At 47.2% G+C, this 17471-nt stretch overlaps 1 protein-coding gene across 9 annotated transcripts in view; it reads right to left on the bottom strand.

Annotated features, from left to right (window-relative positions):
- Positions 1–2061: 2061 nt before the first annotated feature.
- WSCD1 (WSC domain containing 1) overlaps positions 2062–17471 on the bottom strand; it is a 55312-nt gene continuing 39902 nt past the window's right edge. For all 9 annotated transcript variants that reach the window (NM_001388408.1, NM_001388405.1, NM_001388407.1 and 6 more), the window contains 4 exons: positions 16723–16882; positions 15554–15718; positions 8301–8501; positions 2062–6180 (listed from right to left, as the gene is read on the bottom strand). In NM_001388408.1, coding sequence (NP_001375337.1) covers positions 5828–6180; positions 8301–8501; positions 15554–15718; positions 16723–16882 — 879 coding nt within the window. In that variant the 3' untranslated portion in view covers positions 2062–5827. The remainder of the gene's footprint in view (positions 6181–8300; positions 8502–15553; positions 15719–16722; positions 16883–17471) is intronic.

The following is a 17471-nucleotide window of genomic DNA, read 5'->3' as shown; positions in this document are numbered from 1 at the left end:
CTGTATTAGCACCACTATTCTGCTTCCCTGGGCTTCCTCCTAGACACATACTAAATGTGTGCCCTGCCTTCCAAAGTGAGGGTAGATTATTCTGTCATCTGGGTACCATAGATCTGACTGTGGGAGAAAGAATTATCTAAGTGAGTTGATGCCAAAGTCCAAGTGACCAGGCTCTTGTCACTTGTAATGCTCAGGATGGCTGGCATTGGATTCAGAGGGGCAGCTGTCTGCAACTGGAGCTCTTACAAATACATACATACTGCTGGGACCCACCAAAGATCCTTGCCTATTAATTAATGTCTTGGAATAACGGGACCTTTCTTTGTCTGGGATTTGGTGACTTGGGATGAAAACTCTGGGCTCCTAGCTTACGGCATTATGGTCCATCTCACTGACTTCCCTTCTTTGGAAAGGGATTTTTCTTCTGAGCAGGTTGTCAAGTAGTGGGGATGCTTGATAAAAAGCTCTTAAAACTCAGTTGCCCACCAAAATGTATTCTGGCAAAGAATGAGCAGTGAAATTCATGGACTTGCTTCCAAATGAGCTGTCTGTGCACACTTGTCCCATTTCCAGCAACTTCTTGAAGAATTATAGGTATGCAATGTGGGGCCAACCAGGTGGTTTAGTGGAATGAATCCACCTTCTGGTCCCAGCTCCACCACTCATTCCCACAGCATGACTTTGTATGAGACCTCTCCCCATTCCAAATCTCATTTTGCTCTTCTATAAACTAAAGCTGTGAAATTTTGGCTAACTCAGTCTCCGAAACCACATATCCTATTCCCTCCACATGGAAATAATAATGTTCACCTCACTGAGGCACATATGGGATGATGTTTGTGGAACTTTGTGACCCAAAAGAATTTTGTTCACTGTTATTGATCATCATTATTCACACCTTCAAACCATGGATCTGTCACTGCTGATGCCTGAACCTGAGAAAAATTCTTAAGTACTAAAGACACCTTGGAAAGTTAATGCATTCAGCTCATGGTTGTGCTTATAATATCAACTGGGATTCTTTTTATTTTTGACATCAAGATTCCTCATTTTATATTGCCTCATTTAAGCTGGATCTGCTCATATTTCCCATGGCAGGGACCTGGATGTCTGCAGTGTGTCTGCACATTTGGGCCCCTCCTGAGAACTTCCAGAAGTTCAAAATCTATCTTCAGTCACAAAAGGGAGCACTGCAGACAAATATACTCAAATAAATTTCCTGGGATCCTGGCCTTTTTCTACATATTGTATAGATTTTCATCCTGGCATACTGTATAATAGACATTCCAAGGAGAGTATGAAGATGGGGAGCCACATATAACTCCCTCTGTTCCTCTGATTTCTGGCATATAGAGAGCTAAAGAGGGAAAGACAGAGGGGGAAACTCACAGTGGCATCATTCACCTCCCCTCCAACAGCAGCAATTCAGCTCTGCCCCAAGCTTGCATGTCCCACTTTGCAAAATCAATGCTATATGGTTAACCACACCTACCCTCCCTAGAAGGGAGTTTACTGTCTATAAGCTGTTACACAAGCATGTCCCCTGAAGGGGCTAAAGAGGTCTTATCCCCAATCCAAGTAATTTATCAAATAATTTCCTTCCAATACCACATCATATACTCCATGAAAGAAGTTACAGTAACTACAAAAGGGCCATACTTTGACAGTCATTACAAATTGGAATCCCAGTCCTCTCATTTTTCAAGCAGAGATAATAAATAATAACCACACCAAAGGGTTAAACATTAAATGAGACAACTAATGGTTTGGGCTGGGCACCTTATGAATTATTGTCTATGGCTATATGGGTGACCTCACCATGTACCAACTTAAAAATGCTACTTGTCTTGGCTAAGCACAGCTTTCTATTGAGCATTTGCACTCAGCTCAATTCCTGTGAAAAGTAACCTCCCAATCCTACAAGCTCAAGTTGGACTGAGTTTCAGGCTTTATCTAAATCAGCCACAGAGATAGAGAATGTCAGAGCCCCAGGGCTTTTCAATTCAACCCATTTGCACCATGTTCTGAGTTATAAGTAACAGAAATTAAACTCAACCCAACTTAAACAATAAACAGAATTTATTAGCTCATATAACAAAAAAAGTCCAGAGGTAAGGCCAATCTCAAGCAAGGCTTGATCCTGTACTTAAACAATTTCACCAAGGACTTGATCTCTTTCTGCCTCTCAACTCTCCCTTCAGTGGTGTCAGCTTCACGTGATTCCTGGTCATGATCCCAAGGCCCAAGGTGGTCATCATAAAGACCCAGGAATACTACTACCTTTTTCACATTCAACAGGGGAATTAAAACAGCTTCTACCCAGCATTCCCATAAGTCTTGAAATTCCCTCTGGCTTCATTGTCTTAACTCACAAGATCATACCTAACCCAGTCACCATAGCTGGAAAGATGGAAGGTGTCATTGGCTTAGTCCAGGACATGTATTCCACCCCTGGAGAGGCTCTGGCAGATCATATGAATTCCCAAACAGAAATGGGGGGTTGCTGGGAAAGGAAATGGAGGAATGAATGTGGATGCAATCAGCAAGACCTACCACTTCCCCCATTTTATGGATGGGAAACTGAGACTGGAGATGGGAAAAGCTTTGTCCAAGATGGCAGATAAGAGCTGGGACTACAACCTGGCCTTTCAGTCTGACGACTCTACATTATTTCCACTCTACTTTATCCCCACCTTGTTCAGACCAACTCACCCAATATTGAGTGGTGATAAATAGGAAGTCAGACGAATCAATTTCTCCCTATAGTGAAATGAACCCCTTTGGAGTCATCACATTTCAGATACCTCCAATGGGTTTCCGAGCAAGTCAGCAGAAAACAAACCTGTGTCCCAAGAATTCTTGCAGTCGTAACATCAACCTCAGCACTTCTCCTCTCCTCTTGGGGCCCCCTAAGAACCAAGTGGCTACTGCTACTTTTAAGGGGAGAATGCATTCTGATATGCAAACATTATCACAGATTCATGCACTCAAAATCTAATTTTAGCTGCAAGAGACTTCATTATAAGATGTTCACATAATTAAGCAGCTTTCTTCCCAGGGTTTGGAAGCCTGTCTATTCTTCTCTCTCATTTACACATCACTGGGACTACCAGGATGTGTTTTAGTTTTTTAAAATTACATATTTTGGTTTTTCCAAATTGATCCACAACGGGAGATGAAATCCATAAAAATTACATGTTTTAACACAGGTTTGTGTAACTCCACAGGCTTGCTATTAAAGTTGGAATCTGTAGACAGTCAGGGTTTCTCTGTTCTGTTCTAACCGGTTCCTGATGCATTTGCCACACTTCTGCCCTACATACAGATCAGCTTTTATTCCTTGGCTGGTTGGGAGAGTATCCTCTTTACTGAGAAGCTAAGAGCTGTAGATGAGACCTAACTTGGAGAAAAACAAATGGACTTTCCTGCAAGCACAGACAGATCCCCGTTCCTGTTTCTGATGAGATCTCCCACGTAGGCAGACCTGGGATGAAGGCTGTGAGGACCACTGCCAGCTGACAGGGCCGTTGCTCTTCCTTGCTCATCAACATCCAGGAGTACCTGCCAAGTGCCAGGTGTCTTGCTGTATGGACTGACTCAGCGTAAACTGGATGGACACTGACCCCATCACTCTACTTGCCTGCACTCTTCACTGAGGTACAGAGTCATCTACAAGGCCACAGGAGCTGGTGATGCTCTACCTGGAGAGAGATGACATCTCTGGGTACCTGGCAGCAGTGAATGTACCAATCCAACTACCAGGAAAAGCCTGGTGCTGTTGCTCTCCCCAGACCCTGGCTCCAGTCCCGGTCACTCCTCTCTCCACACTTTGCCCTTCCCAGCCTCCATGGCTTCCCCACTGCCACGCCTGACATTGCTTTCAAGGATCTAGGCTTGCTCTGGGATGCAGGTCTGCCCTGGCTATCCCGTCCACAGCAGTGTGGAAACTCCTGAGGGGTCTCAATTGCTCCTGATACTAGGAAGAAATAGCTCCATCAGGGGCCTTCGCAGATTGGATGCCGAAGCTATCCTGAGCCAATAAACATTTTCAAAGACCTTGGTGTTTCTAGCTTTGAGCTGAACTGAGTTGATGCTATGGGAGGGTCAAGAACAGCTTCGCATCAGTGTGGGTTTGGGGGAATCCCAGGAAGGATTTGGAGGCCACCAGGGGCACAGATGCCCAAACCCACCCACTGGCCAAACTGAAGGTTGGAGGAAGCTTCCATCTGGGGAAGGGCAGCTCTACTGGGCCTTCCACCCCCGGCCTGTGCTCATAGCGGGTGGCTCTGGGTTCCCCATCATCAGGCTAGGAAGCAGAGGGTCAGGATATCTCAACGTCCTGCTCTCCCAGATCCCTCACCCTGCCTTCTCCTCCCAATGCAGCTTGGCTCAGGCTGAAGGGAGGTCTCCCTGACAGCTGACCCAGAGCAGGACCATGGGGCCTGGCCAGGGTTATCCTAGGCCTGAAGAAGCCACTGAAGGGCTGCCTGAGTTCAGGCCCACCCACCTTCCCACCTCCCTGACCTCCACAGAGGCCAGTGTGCAACCGGATCGCCACAATCCTCCCTGCATCTCGGCCACCTTGAGCGTTGCTCCTGGGTTGCACTCCTACCCTCCATACTTGAACCTCCTGGCCTCCACAGCCTCACTTGTGAGCCCAAGATGTGTAGCATACATTGACCCCCATCCCAGGCTGGCAGGACCAGACCTAGGGGTCAGGCTGAGTACTAACTAGCTCTCATGACCCCAGTGTGGGACCCCAGAGAGAACAGGGCCCCTATGGGTGGAGCACCAGTACCAGTAATCGCGGAGATACAGCCCTTACAATCTCCCCATGCCAACTCCCAAGACCCATCCTGCTAGTGTACAGGTCCCCAGGGGTCCTGGGCTCCCCTGGAACTTCAGCTCCTGCCCTCTTCCCCACGCCCCCATGCTTACACCTTGCTTCTGGGGCATGACTTGAATCTCCAGCTTCCCTGAGGATAGCTGGAGGAAGAAGCCAGGCAAGGAGGCCCCAGGCCCCGGAGCATGGTGTAGGAGGGGTTGAAGGGGGTGGTGGGCAGTGCACAGACTTGGTGTGGCTGGTCTTGAGGTCAGTGTCTGCATTGGCTTGGGCGGGGTGGGGGGCAGTCCTCAACCCTGCCCATGGTGCAGCCAGCCCAGCCACAGAGAAAAGAGAGGCAAGGCTGCGGAGTTTGTGGTGCCCGTAGTCACACCACACACACATTTATGGGATGTCAGACACACGGCCAGGGCCGCACACCCTGGAAGCAGCAGTCTTTGTGCCCACCTCCATCCCAATGGTCCTTGCTGCTCAGAGCATAAATGTCTGCCCGGCCCAGCATCCCAGAGTCGAACACCCTGACGAGCAAGTCTATGCCAGGGCTACACACAGGAAGCCCAGGGCCTCCCGGATCCCAGGGAGCGCACGTGTATCTGTGTGAGAGAGACAGCCAGCCAGCCTCCAGGAGCACACGGCCTGGCACCTGTGTGTTACGTCTGTGCGTGGCTGCATTTGTATCTGGGGGTGCCTGGCACACCCCACGTGGGTGGCTTCTCTGCATCAAGACGGGGCTATGAGCCTGGAGTGGTGTCTGAGTGTCTGAGGAGGTGTGGGTTCGTGGCCAGGTATGTGTGTCCATTTGTGTTCGCCTTGTGATGTGTGTCTGTTGTGTCCAGGTCTCCTTGTGCGGGAGGCAGCACCAGGGTGAGCCCCCCACCCACCGTTCGTCCCAGTGAGGCCACGGGCCTGAGCATCAGAGTGGGGAGCGCAGCCCCGTGGTGCGATTGCGTCACTCAGCGGGGGCGGCGGCGTGGGCCAGGCCTATCATCTGGGCACATACTCCCTGGGCAGCCCCGTCCAGTTGTGGTCACGCAGGGCTTGGTCCACCGTCCGGATGTAGCCATTGATCAAGTCTTTCATCTCCGGGGTGAAGGGCTCAGGGTCGTGGGAGCGCCGGCCGCGCCGCCGGAAGCTGCCCTCCTTGTTGTTCTCCACGCAGAGCAGCCGCTCCTCGCTCACAGACACGTTGAGGAAGGCCACCATCTCCCGTAACGTGGGCACCAGGCTGCGCCGCAGCTCCTCGTAGTGCACCACCAGCAGCCGCTTCCCGTACTTGAGCCAGTCCAGGACGTGCGAGGACCACCACGAGGCGTAGCTGTTGACAAAGTCCGGCCACTCTAGAGTGAGGACAGGAGAGATGCAGAGTCGGGGGCTGGCCCTGCCAGGGCTGCCGGTCCCCGGGGGGCTGCTCGGGAGAGGGAAGTGGGCAGGGTTTTCCACTGTCCACTGCCTAGAGTCAACCTGGCATTCCCCATGGAGGAGGACCCTTTGGTGGCTGAGCAGTGTGTCCGTGGTGGGTGGGGGCAGCTCTGGGCATCCTGGTGGGATGAGGACGCTGTGCAGCCTCCATTTCCCATCCCAGGTCCTCCTATAAAGCTAAGTCAGCGTGATGCCTGATGGGCAAATACGCATCTTGTGGTTTGATTGCCAGTTTGAACCTGTGAAACTGCAGGGCAGTAGGACATACAGTGAAGCCACAGACGGGGTGGCCTCGGACTTTTGCAGGTAATCTACTTTATGAGCTTTCTTTTCCAGCAAATTAAGAAATTAATTTTGGGGGAGGGGTGTGCAGGGTCCAGATATCAGAAATCATCCCAATAAAAAGTTTCCATTATTGGGCTATTAACACACCTCAAACGCCGTCTGAAGCGTTTGCTTTCTCTAATCTTCACAATGACCCTAGGAGACAGGGCCTATCCTTGTTTTTAATGTGAGAAAACAGGCTCAGAAGACAAGATAAGCAGCTTTCCCGGAGTTATACGGCTCATAAGAGGCAGAGGAGGCGTCAGAGATCAGCCTGCCTGACTGTCGGGGGCTGTCTAAGTAAAGGATGATGGGGGAAGGGGAAGACTAGAGGCCGGCAGAGGCCACCCACTGGGTGATCCAGTAACAAGTGGACAGGAGCACAAGCTGGTCTGGCCATGGGTCCTGTGACTTCTCTCACCCCACCCTGCCTGGACACTGCTTTGTTTCTGACCAACTTCATTTCACATCACTTACCACCCAGACTCTATTCGTCACCACCCAAAGGCTCAGCTGTGCATGCCTCGAGGGCAGAGACCCTGACCTCATCAGCCTGCGCTCCTGGTACCTTGCCCCATGCCTGGCACCCAGGAAGACTTCAGCAAGTGTGAGTCAGAAGACTGATTCCATGAATAAAGCTGCAGTGGGGAACAGGCCAATCTGACCCAGAATCAGACACTCTGGATGTTGGGGCCCAGATGCTTGTATGCCCCCCAAATTCACAGAGAGTCCTAACCCACCATATCATGGTATTAGGGATGGGGGATTTGGGAGGCGATTAGAGTCAGATATGGTCATGAGGGTGGGGCCCTTGTGATGGAATTAGTGCCTTTATCAGAAGAGTCACCAGAGAGCTGTTGGGGACATGTGAGGACACAGTGAGAAGGCAGCTGTCTCCAAGCCTGAAAACAGGCCCTTCCTGGGAATGGAATTAGCCAGCACTTTGATCTTGGACTTCCCAGCCTCTAAGACTATGAGAAATAAATGTCTGCTGCTTAAGCACCACCCCCTGCCCCATCCCCCAGTTTTGTGGTATTTTGTTATGGCAGCCAGAGCTGACTAAGACATTGGGTGTGAGTCCCAGCTCTGCTGCTCACCACCAAGGCCAAGTCCTGCAGCCATGTTCTCTGGGCTCATCTGGAATGTAGGGCTGATGTGATTTCCCCACCAGACACTGTGAAGAGTCAGCAAGAGGCAGCTTAGGAGGGAATTAACATGCTGAGCTCTGACCAGAGACCAGGCAGGCACATCATCTCACTGCTCCCTGAATGCCCCACAAGGTGCAGGTCTCATTCTATAAAAGAGGAACCTGGTGCTGAACACAGAGGAAGGTGCAAAGCAGGTCCATGTGCACCCCATGTGCTCTTCTCCCAGCCCTGCATGAGCTCCTGGGCAGAAGCAGAGATGGAAAGGGGTGCATATCACCCCACTATGCACTCATGGAGGCAGAGAAGATTCTTGGTAATCAAGCTGGCATCTAAGTAAAATGCCTTGGCGTATGGACCTCAGCAGGCATGGGGGGCAAGGGGAGGAGGTGAACTCAAGCCCAGGCACAGCAGCACTAAGTCCCTAGCAGGATGGGGTTTGAGTGCCTACCTGTGTATACTGATCCTGCATCCTGCAGTGCCTACCTGTGTAAATTGATCCTGCATCCTGATGAGCAACCTACCTGTACTGACAAGCCTCCCACCCCCACCGCAAGGTCCTTGATTACCTTTGCTCTTCCAGTTGCGGTCAGCTGCATATCCCAGGTGCCCGGCACATTTTCTGTTGAATTCTGCCACCAGGGACCTGTATGGGTTCCGGATTAGCAGGATGGCTGAATCAAACATCTCAATCTCCCTCCTGCCACTCTCGTGGGTTTTGACACAGATGGTGCGTCGGCTCCGCCAGTGGTCCTTTTCGCCCTTGAACCCTGCAGGGAAAAATGAGAGGGTCTCTGTGGAAGATGGTGTCCATGGGGCACCCTACCATAGCAGCAGACAGATTGGGTAAAGCTGGCATCAGGGGCATAAGAGAGGGCCCATGGAAGACACAGAGGACACTGAGAGGACCTATGGATGGTGATAGGAACGGCCTCCACAGGAGTGACCCTGTCCAAGGGAAAGTGACAGCAGGAGTTATCTAACAGTGGGGAAAGATGGCATCTGCAAGAGAAATGAGATGAGGTATTCCCTGAAGACCTCCAGGAGTCAGAGGGCAGAAGACCCGTCATTGCAGATGCACGCATATGTTTTGGGCATCTTCATAGAGATAATTTTACACAAGCATTACAAACAACCTTTGATTTAACCATAGCTGCAAACATAGCTGAATGAAGAGACTAAGGCACAGAGTGAGCATGGGACTTGCCCAAGATCACACAGTGCTGTGAAAACAGCGCCAGGGCTCTCTCCACATGCCACCGTGTGTCTCTGTGAGACCCCCAGCCTCCTCTCACCTCCCCACAGTCAGGGCAGGATCCTGATTTACAGATTCAATGGCTGTGAGCAGGTATAGATCCACCCTCTGACCTGATGCCATGGTTCTATGACAGGGCCCAGCCTTGCCTCAGAGCAGGTCTGGTCAAGGCCTCATCCACAGTGCTTGAGCCTGGCCCTGAGGACCCAGGGCCCAATTTCTATGAATGGAGACTTGTTCCCATTGATCAGCCCATCGGGGGCCCTCTCTTTCCTTGGTCCCTTGCTATAGTACTGGGCACTCAGAACCTGAATGACTGACTACTGGCAGAGAAGGCCAGACTCCGCCCATTCATCCAGAGCCACACATTTATCAATGAAGGTTATTATGTGCTCACTATGTTAGACTTTATTTTGGGGACAGAGGGTTAAGACTCAGACCTTGTCTTTAAGCTTATGTTCTAGTAGAGGAAATAGCCTAAGTGCAGGCTATAGGGGCTTATGGAAACAAAGAGCAGGGATCCCAAATAGTGGGATGTCCTAGAAGACTTCCTGGGAAGAGGTCTCCTGAAACTAGTCTCCTGGCCACACCCAATGTAGCCCATGCTCCCAGCCCTGAGACATGTTCCGTAAGTGCTCATGTGCTTATCTTGGGCTCTTGGAAACAAAATGAGTCCTACCACCTGCCCCTCTGCAGGAATTGCTGGAAAGCATTTGTATCTGCAGTGAGCACTGAGGGACGCTTTGATGCCTGGAAAATGCAAGTCTCTTTTGAATCTGGAAGTCCGGGTTTACCCACTGAAACTCAACAAGCTTCAAACTTATCTCTGCCATGGGCCAAATACCAAAAGGCCTCGCTTTGATTCATTCTGTCAAACAGCTGGAAAATGCTATGAAAGGAAGAGTCAAACTGGAATGAATAAACTTGAGATCTAGTCTTTAACAACCCTGAGACCCGGGGTGCCTTCCATACTGCCTCCGCCTCTTCCAACAACAGCTATTCTGCCTTGCAGCTCAGACCACATTCGACCTACCACAATAGATTTGGTGGTTGGGCATTGGAGATGCCTTGTGAATTGTGCGTGTGTGTGTGTGTGTGTGTGATCACTCTGTCAGTGCTCTGAGGCCACTGGCCACATCTAATGGTCTTGTAAGGCTCAAAGATGTGTGTGAGGTATCTCTAAAGCATTTCTGAGGCAGTGTCGACCCAACCTCTATAGCTGGCAATATCAGTCATTGGGCCGCTTACCATATGTAGACCAAAACAGCCAGCTGCTTGAATAAGGTAAGGGCCTTGGAGATGAACAAGGTGGGTAACTGCAGCCTGGGCACAGTGGGTGATTCCTAGGGGACTAAGCCAGAGTGGACAGGGCCATGTGCTCATGTGGCCACTTCCTCCCTCACCTGAAGATGCCTGTAACACTCGAGGTTCCCAGGGAGTACAAGGCTGGGTTATATGGACAACTATAGCTTTTCCCCAGAACCAAGATTGTTATAAGTGATTCCAGAGCCCAATCCCAAGCTTGGGAAGTTTCTGCTTCTCTAGGATGTTACTGACAGTATCAACTTTCCTACACCAAACTCTGGTTAAGAAATCCAGAGAAAATGGGCTAGGCATGGTGGTTCACTCCTATAATCCCAGCACTTTAGGAGGGTGAGGCAGGCAGATCAATTGAGGTCAGGAGTTTGAGACTAGCCTGGCCAACATGGTAAACCTCCCTGTCTCTACTAAAATACAAAAATTAGCTGGGTGTGGTGGCAGGTGCCTGTATTTCTAGCTACTCGGGAGGCTGAGACAGGAGAATCGCTTGAACCCAAGAGGCGGAGGTTGCAGTGAGCTGAGATTGTGCCATTGCACTCCATCCTGGGCGACAGAGTGAAAGTGAGACTCTATCTCAAAAAAAAAGAAAAGAAAAGAAAAGAAAAAAGGAAAGAAAGAAATCCAGAGAAAATGCTTGACAACAGAGAAATACATTTTAATACATTTTTGCCAAATTTGATGCCAATGGACTTGTCTGAGGTTTTTCATTCTTAAACAAAACACAGTCTTCAGCCATTTAACTTAATTTCTCTTATTTCTACAAGGGAAAGATTACAAATCAAAACTCTTAAAAGATTTTTGGACATTTTTTATTACATTTTGATGAACTAGTTCTTGCCTCAAAAAAGGAATGAGCAGATTAAATCAGTTTCACCCCTAATTATTGAGGGTTCTAAAAATTAAGGAAAATTCAAGAAATGTTTACAGAGAGAAAATTCAAGCTGCTAGTCTTTCTCTTTGAATCCAGAATAGGCACGATCTCATGAAGTTCCGCTCTAAGTGGGGTCCTCGGGCTGCCTTCATCAGGGTCACCTGGGAGCTTGTTAGAAATGAAAATTCTCAGGCCCCACCTCGGACTACCTGAATCAGACTGTCAGGGGTGTGGGCCAGGACCAAGTGATTCTCTTTTTTACTTAAAAATATTTTTATTAAAAAAGAATGAGTTCATGTCCTTTGCAGGAACATGCATGAAGCTGGAAGCCATCATTCTCAGCAAACTAACACAGCAACAGAAAACCAAACACCACATGTTCTCACTCATAAGTGGGAGGTGAACAATGAGAACACATGGACACAGGGAGGGGAATATCACACACAGGGGCCTGTTGGGGGGTGGGGGACAAGGGAAGGGAGAGCATTAGGACAAATACCTAAGGCATACGGGGCTTACAACCTAGACGATGGGTTGGTAGGTGCAGCAAACCACCTTGGCACATGCATACCTATGTAACAAACCTGCACATTCTGCACATGCATCCCAGAACTGAAAGTAAAATAAAATAATAATAAATATAAATATATTTATTATTATTTTAAACTGATGCATGATAAGTGTACATCTTCTTTATGGGGTGCAATGTGATATTTCAATGCATGTATACAATGTTTAATAATCAAATCAAAGTAATTAGGATATCCATCGCCTCAAACATTTATCATTTCTTTGAGCTGGAAACATTCAAAATCCTCTGTTCTGGCTACTTGAAAACATACAATCAATTATTGTCAACTGTAGTCACCCTACAGTGCTATAAAACACTAGGACTTATTCCTCATATCTAGCTGTAATTTTGTATCCTTTAACCAACATCTCCCTATCCTGCCCTCCCTCCTACCCTTCCCAGCCTCTAGTGACCACTATTCTACTCTCCACATCAGTGAGATCAACTTTTTAAGCTTTGACATATGAATGAGAGCATGTGGTATTCATCTTTCTGTGCCTGGTTTATTTCACTTAACATAATGTCCCTTAGGCTCATCCATGTGGCCGTGAATTACAGCATTTAATTCTTTTTTTTTTTTTTTTTTTACGGCTAACTAGCCATTGTGTATATGTACCACATTTTAAAAATTCACCTATTGATAGATACTAAGGTTGATTCCATACCTTGGCTATTGTGTATGGTGCTGTAATAAGCATGAGAGTACAGGTATCTCTTCAACATACTCATTTCCTTTCCCTTGAATATATACCCAGCAGTGGGATTGCTGGATCATATATATGACAATTCTACTTTTTTTTGAGGAGCCTCCATACTATTTTCCGTAAGAGCTGTACTAGTTTACATTCCCACCAATAGAGTATAAGAGTTCCCTTTTCTCCACATCCTCTCCAACACTTGTTATTTTTTGTCTTTTTGATAGTAGCCACTCTAACTGGGGCGAGATGATATCTCATTGTGGTTTTGATTTGCATTTCCCTGATAATTAGTGATACTGAGCATGTTTTCATATACTTGTTGACCATTTGTATGTCTTCTTTTGATAAATGTCTATTCATATCATCTGTCCATTTTTAAATCAGATTCTTTTGGGTTTTTGTTGTTGAGTTCCTTATATACTTTGGTTATTAATCCCTTGTTGGATGAATAGTTTGCCAATATTTTCTCCCATTCTGCAGGCTGTCTCTTCACTCTGTTGATTGTTTCCTTGGTTGTGCAGAAGTTTTTCACTTTGACATAATACCACTTGTCTAATTTTGCTTTTGTTGTCTGTGCTCTTGAGGTCCTATCTCAAAAGCAAAAACATCTTTGCCCAGACCAATGTCCTGAAATATTCCCCGTTTTCTTCTAGCAGTTTAATAGATTTGGGTCTTACATTTAAGTCTTGATTTTGAGTTGATTTTTGCATAAGGAGAGAGATAGGGGTATATCTTCAGTCTTCTGCATATGGTTATCCAGTCTTCCCAACACCATTTGTACAGCCTCAGTCTTCTGCATATGGTTATCCAGTCTTCCCAACACCATTTATTGAAAAGACTGTCCTTTCCCAAATGTATGTTCTTGGCATCTTTGTCAAAAATGAGTTGGCTGTAAATGCATGGATTTATTTCTGGGTTCTCTATTTTGTTCCATTGGTCTATGCATCTGTTTTTGTAGCAGTACCATGCTGTTTTTTGTTACTAAAGCTTTGTAACATATTTTTAAGTCAGTAGTGTGATACCTCCAGCTTTGTTCTTTTTGCTCAGAATTGCCTTGGCTATTCAGGGTCTTTTGTGGTTCCATACAAATTTTAGAATTGTTTTTTTCTGTTTCTGTGAAGAATGTCATTGGTATTTTGATAGGGATTGTATTGGATCTGTTGATTGCTTTTGGTAGCATGGTCATTTTCCCAATATTAATTCTTCCAATCCATAAATATGGGATGTCTTTCCATTTTTTTGTGTGTCCTCTACAATTTCATAAGTGTTTTATAGTTATCTTTGCAGAGATCTTTCATCTCTTTTATTAAATTTATTCCTAGGTATTTTTTCATAGCTATTTAAATGGTACCGCTTTCTTCATTTCTTTTTCGGGTAGTTCACTATTGGTATATGGAAATGCTACTGATTTTTGCATGTTTATTTTGTATCCTGTAACTTTACTGAATTCATTTATTGGTTCTAAGGGTTTCTTGGTGAAGCCTTTAGGCATTTCTATATGTAAGATCATGCCATCTGCAAACAGGGACAAGTGGACTTCCTCCTTCCCAATTTGGATGCCCTTTGTTTCTTTTTCTTGCCTAATTGCTGCATAGGACTTCCATTACTAGGCTGAACAGACATGGTGAAAGTGGGCATCCTTGTCTTGTTTCAGTTCTTAGAGAAAAGGTTTTCAACACTTTCTTCATTTAGTATGATACTAGCTGTGGGTTTTTCACATATGGCCTTCATTGTGGTGAGGTACGTTCCCTCTATACCTAATTTGTTGATTGTTTTTGCCCTAAAGGGATGTTGAATTTTATCATTTATTTCTGCTCTGATCTTCATCATTTCTTTCCCTCCAGTACTTTTGGATTGGCTTGTTCTTGCTTTTCTAGTTCCTTGAGGTACGTCATTAGGTTGCTTATTTAAAATCTTTCTACTATTTTGATGTAGGCATTTATTGCTGTAAACTTTTGTCTTAGAACTTCTTTTGCTGTATCCCATAGGTTTTGGTATAAAATTAAAAACACAGTTGAGAGCTTTTGTAACAGACTAGATCATTAATTTCATTCATTAAAAATTCATTTTAATTATTCAACTAACAGATTTGTTTGGTTGTTTGTATGATATCTATTTCTATCGAATTTCTCATTCGGATCATAAAATGTTTTCCTAATTTCATTGAATTGTCTATTTGTATTCTCTTGTATCATGCTGAGTTTCCTTAAAATCATTATTTTAAATTACTTTTCAGGTATTTCATACATTTCCTTTTCTTTGGGGTCTGTTATTGGAGAATTATTGTGTTTCTTTGCAGACGTCATGTTTCCTTGCTCTTTTTTTTTTTTTTTTTTTTTTTTGAGACGGAGTGTCACTCTGTTGCCCAGGCTGGAGTGCGGTGGCATAATCTCGACTCACTGCAACCTCTGCCTCCCAGGTTCAAGCAATTCTCCTGCCTCAGCCTCCTGAGTAGCTGGGATTACAGGCGCCTACCACCGCGCCCAGCTAATTTTTGTATTTTTAGTAGAAATGAGGTTTCACCATATTGGTCAGGCTGGTCTCAAACTCCTGACCTCAGGCGATCCACCCACCTCAGCCTCCCAAAGTGTTAGGATTACAGGCGTGAGCCACTGCGCCTGGCCTCCTTGCTTTTTCATGTTTCTTGTGTGACTGCATTGATATCTGCACATCTGGTGGAACAGTCACCTCTTCCAATTTTATGGAGCAGCTTTCATAGGAAAAGACTTTTTCTAGTAGATGTATCCTATAGTGTGGGTTGGGTAGCATGCTTAGGTTTTGGTTCTGGGTGGTGGAGTAGTGTAGTCTCAGTGTAATTTCTTTGGCTGTAATCAATATCAGTGGTGTCTGCAAGTGCCTCAGTGGCCTAGATCGTGGGTGTTTGTGGATACAATGGCGTAACTTTGTTGTGGATGGGGACCACCAGGCGGGCTGGTCTTCAATACCTGAAGGGTGAGTATGGCACACAGTGGCTCCACCCACAGGTGACTCTTATGTACACTCAAGTTTGAGATGCACTGCTCTAGTGCTCTGAGAAGCTTGGCTGGCAAGGTGACAGTTTGGTCACCGGGAGCTGCCTTCCATCGTCCCCTGTAGCTTTGACTTACCTTTGTTGTAGAGGGTTCCATCAAAGTAGTAGCTCCCTGTATAGAAGCCAGTGGCATGCTCAATGAGGTGCCGTGCCCATGTGTTCCCGGCTCCTGGGAAGCTTGACAAAGCCACAAACACTTTGGATTTGTTAGGCAGGAACCTCCTGTCTGTACAACGAGTGTCTGAAAGTCCAAAAGTCATCACGGGGTTACTCACTTCCATTATGACTCACCAATTCACCACTAAACTCCCTTAGAGGAACTGATGAACGAAGACTCCCATTTAATAGATGGGGGAACCAAGGCCCAAAGAAGGGAAGAGATCTTCCAAATATACCTTAGCTGCACAGGTCTGTGGCCAGTCCGAGAAAGCCCCGTAATGAGGCCTGCAATACTGCAGTGCAGGAGTAAGATGGGAATCAGACACCCTATGGACCCTCGACTCCCATTCTGTCTCTATGGCCACAGCCAAACTCTTGCTCCTGACATAGCACAGATAATTCCAGATTCTAATAGGGGAAGTGGGTGGGGATTGAGGCTAGGCTGAGCAAAGTAACACACCCAGGTACTGCCAACAATAAACCAGAGCTGGACTAATGACAGGCAAGTCATTCGTTATGTCTCATCCCCAGGGCTGCTACAAGGAGCACATGAAATCACCAGGGGAAAGCCCCAAAACATCCAGGGCCATGCTGGGTCACAGTAGGCACTTGATAAAGGTGGTAACATCCCTCGTCCCCGGCTCTTCCTTTCATCAGTTCCTAAGGTCAACAGGGGCAGACCTGATGCTCACACCAAGGAGGGTTCCCAGGTCCTGGAGGCACCAGTGGCCCCTGCAGCTCCTGGGATCTCATTCTTCCCACGCCTCCCAATCCTACCACCTTTCTGTTGCTATCTCTCTAGGACCTGCCCCTCTCTGTTCATCCTCTTACCATTGTCATCTCCAGAGAGACTTAGATAAAGGGTCCAGTGTTTTTTAAAGTGAGTCCAGGATTCAGCCTCTGTGGAGGGTGGAAAACTGACCCTCCCCATTATCTCCAACACCCATCAAGATGCCAAGACCTTTACACAGACACATGCCATACCTCATAACTGCATGCTTGGCCATGACTGGCATCTCCAAACCCTGGAAGCTCTCCCCACCCCCCAGACCAAATGCCACTACCAGTCGGGGATGCAGAACCCACCTTGCACAGGTGTCTGGTAGACCTCACAGTATTCTGCCAGCCTCTGTGCCTCAGGGTCCTGGCCACATACTGAGCTGTCCATGGCATCCCGCAGGTTGAACCGGGGGGTAGGGTAAGCACAGTAGCATTCCCAGCCCCTGAGAATGGCCAAGGGGAACTCCTGCCAGGGAACGATAAGAAGAGAAGCACACTGAGTGAATTTGAGGGTCATGCTTCCCAGGGCTCAGGAATGGGATGAACATGGACGATGTATTGCCAGCTGTATCTGTATGGAATCCACAGGGATGACCACCATCCTTCCACCACTGTGCTCTGTGCCCAATTCCAGGGGAGACAAAGATCAACAAGATGTGAGCTTCAAGCAGCTCAAGTAGCCCATGTTCTTATAAGCACAGCCCTACTTGGTTGGTTCCTTGACAAGTCAACAGTATGAGCAGCAATATGACTGAGGGATGAGCGACGTGCAGAAAGCAGGGGGCAGAGGCTGGAATCATGTTTTTGAGATTCCAAGGCATTTGTCAGGAGTGCCAGAGATAGAAATGGCACTCTGGGCAGGGGCATCCATATGAGTGGATGTCTGCATGGCACAGAGCGGGGCAGATCAGCTGACTTAGGGCATCCCCAAGGATCCACGTGTCACACCACTAATGAACAGACCTCAAGCCCTGAGAGAGGACTGAGATTCGATTCCCTCTGGTCTTCCTTGGCCAGCCACCTCCCTGGAAAGAGACTAAAACCAACTCTCATGC

The sequence above is a fragment of the Homo sapiens genome, chromosome 17 (genome assembly GCF_000001405.40).
Source record: "Homo sapiens chromosome 17, GRCh38.p14 Primary Assembly".
In the NCBI taxonomy this organism is placed as follows: Eukaryota; Metazoa; Chordata; class Mammalia; order Primates; family Hominidae; genus Homo; species Homo sapiens.
This window is presented reverse-complemented; position numbering and strand designations above follow the sequence as displayed.